General features: G+C 35.5%; 1 annotated feature.

Annotated features, from left to right (window-relative positions):
* Nucleotides 1,844–2,345: an enhancer, noted in NCBI's record as "NANOG hESC enhancer chr4:126189240-126189741 (GRCh37/hg19 assembly coordinates)". NCBI's record gives its function as "activates a minimal SCP1, AML or CMV promoter by ChIP-STARR-seq in primed H9 embryonic stem cells {active_cell/tissue: H9 hESC(primed)}" and the evidence as "EXISTENCE:reporter gene assay evidence [ECO:0000049][PMID:30033119]".

The raw sequence follows: 2,718 nt of genomic DNA on the forward strand, positions 1-2,718 counted from the left end.
ATAGGAATTTTATACTCCATTTTTTTCTCACAGTCTGCCTTCTAAAAATGCCCATGTTAAATCTTATGTATGTACCCCAGGAGCTAGCAATGCCTGCCAGTTAATGGACTCACTAAAGATTTGATAAATGCATGAATAAAAAATAATAGTGTTTTAAATTTCTGTAAGACCTTTTTACAGTCATTTTCTGAGATTAAAACACAATCACAATGACTCTGATAACAATAGGAAAGTTTCAAATAAGTTAAGCAGCTTGAAAAAAAATAACACTCAAATGTGGCAGAATTTGGAATAAAATAAAGTTTTCTTGTTTCAAAGCTATGCTTTTAACTATTTCATCATTTATATTAGAACATGAATGTTAACAGATAACCCCTTCATTTATTCATTTAGAAAGCATATCTTGATTTTTTGTTGCTTGTTAGCTTAAATACAATGTAAAAATCTAAAACCATGCTGAAACACTACATAGACTGATGAATTAGAATGGGCAAAAACGTGAAACATTGACTTGAAATTATTACATATAATAGATAAATACCAAATGCATGTACATACATGAGCATGAACTCTAAATTCCGTCTTTCTTGACTTATAGCCATTTTCACAGGAAATCAAAGGCAATGACAGATCCCCTTGAGCCAGAAGTTGACGTCTTTGGTTTTAGTCTCCCATGTAGTAATGATAATGTGGACAAAAATAGATGGATGTGATTTTTCAAAGAGAACTTATTTCACTGTACACAGTAGGATAATGCAAAGAACTACTGCTTTATTTTCATGACTAGTACATATGAATCATAATCAGTTCTTTGAATTCCTTCAAAGAGGATGAAATAAATCCAAGAATGCAAACTTCCCTTATTTCACAATATTCGTGACAGATGTGTGACCAGCAGACACCCTTGTGCTTGTTTCTACATGTGGGAAGACTGCAGCACATCCATTAGCCAGTCGTTTCTTCTTGCTACTTCCATATATTGGCAGAACAGAATATTCCCACGCTGGTTTTCTTCAGATGACCCGGTAAATCTTTCAGCTCATCTTTAAAGCTCCCTCCACACCACCTGGGTGTATAGAATGCTTGCTTGTGGTGCGTATATGTCAGGATTTGATCAAGAAGCTGAATGTGGCTCTGTGCCTGGTTTGCATCACAGAGTCACAAAAAAGGTTGCATAAAATCACCCGTCTGCAGACTGTTTACTTGCCTGAAGTGTCATGCCACTTCTGAGATTCCGGGGTTCCAGAGAGCTCCATGGCATTTTGAACTGACTTCCTCTCTGCTTCATCCAAGACAACATTTTTTTGTGCATTTTTTACATATATTTTATATTAACACACTTTTTAAAAGGCAGGAAATTATAAATATCTATAATCTCTTCTGCAAATCTAACATTAACTAATTTGGAGATAAAACCTAGACTGGCCAGACATGAGACTTTACAAAATCTCTATTTATTTTATTTGGTGTGACTACGCATTCAGGTCCCTGTGCAAATATTAATGTGTTTGATTAGGCTGTGCCACCCAAGACATAGTTGGAAATGCTATAATAACATGCAGCACATGCATCATATTATCATTCACAAAACCCTGAATTTCAAAACATCTAGTCCCAAGGGCCTCTGGTAAGGTCGTGTAAACCTATAAATATATCCTGAGTTGTATCTTTATGTACTGACCTGGAAAATTACTGCTATATTCGATTTTTAAAAGTTTTTTAAAAGTATGGCATAATTCCATTTAAAATTAATACATATATGAGTTTATGTGCATAGGGTGTGTGTTTACATGTAAGTATCAATGTACAGATAACTAAAAATATGTGCTATTTTCTTGTATATTTGATTTTACATTTTTTTATGCAAATCAGCATCTTCATATGTAAATATATAAACTTTTCTTGAGAATTTGTATTAGGTAGGGAGGACACAGCGGGAGAAGGTAGTTACATAACATTCTTTTTCTTTCTTTCTTTCTTTTTTTTTTGAAACAGGAACTCACTCTGTCACCCAGGCTGCAGTGCAGTGGCATGATAATGGATCACTGAAGCTTCAATTTCCCAGGCTCAAGCAATCTTCCCTCCTCAGCCTCACAAGCAGCTGGGACTAGAGGTGAGCACCACCACATCTGGCTACAAAACATTTTTGTATTTTTACATTCTTTTACTACAAATATGATTATGTCTAATTCTGCTACTTCCAGTGAAAAAAGGCAGGGCCTTTGTCTCTCCAGCGTGCCTGACCTGGGCTGCCTTCTCAACTGCTTTGTCCCCTTGGCTCCAGGAGGCCCCAGATGGTTAAGAATAACAAACAATGATGAAAAGAGACTCCATTCAGTAAATGTTGTTGGGATAACTGACTAGCCATATGCAGAAGATTGACACTTGACCCATTTCTTTCGCCATATACAAAAATTAATTCAAGATGGATTAAATACTTAAACGATAGACCTAAAACTGTAAGAACCCTGGAAGAAAACCTGGGAAATATCATTCCGGACATTGGCCTTAGCAAAGAATTTATGACTAAGCCCCCAAAAGCAATTGCAACAAAAACAAAAATTAACCAGTCAGACCTAATTAAACTAAAGGGTTTCTGCACAGAAAAATAAACTATGAGCAGAGTAAATAGATAACCTACAGAAAGGAAAAAAATATTCCCAAACTTTGCTTCTGACAAAGGTCTAGTATCTAGAATCTATAAGGTACTTAAGCACT

The sequence above is a fragment of the Homo sapiens genome, chromosome 4, assembly GCF_000001405.40.
Source record: "Homo sapiens chromosome 4, GRCh38.p14 Primary Assembly".
NCBI classification, from domain to species: domain Eukaryota; kingdom Metazoa; phylum Chordata; class Mammalia; order Primates; family Hominidae; genus Homo; species Homo sapiens.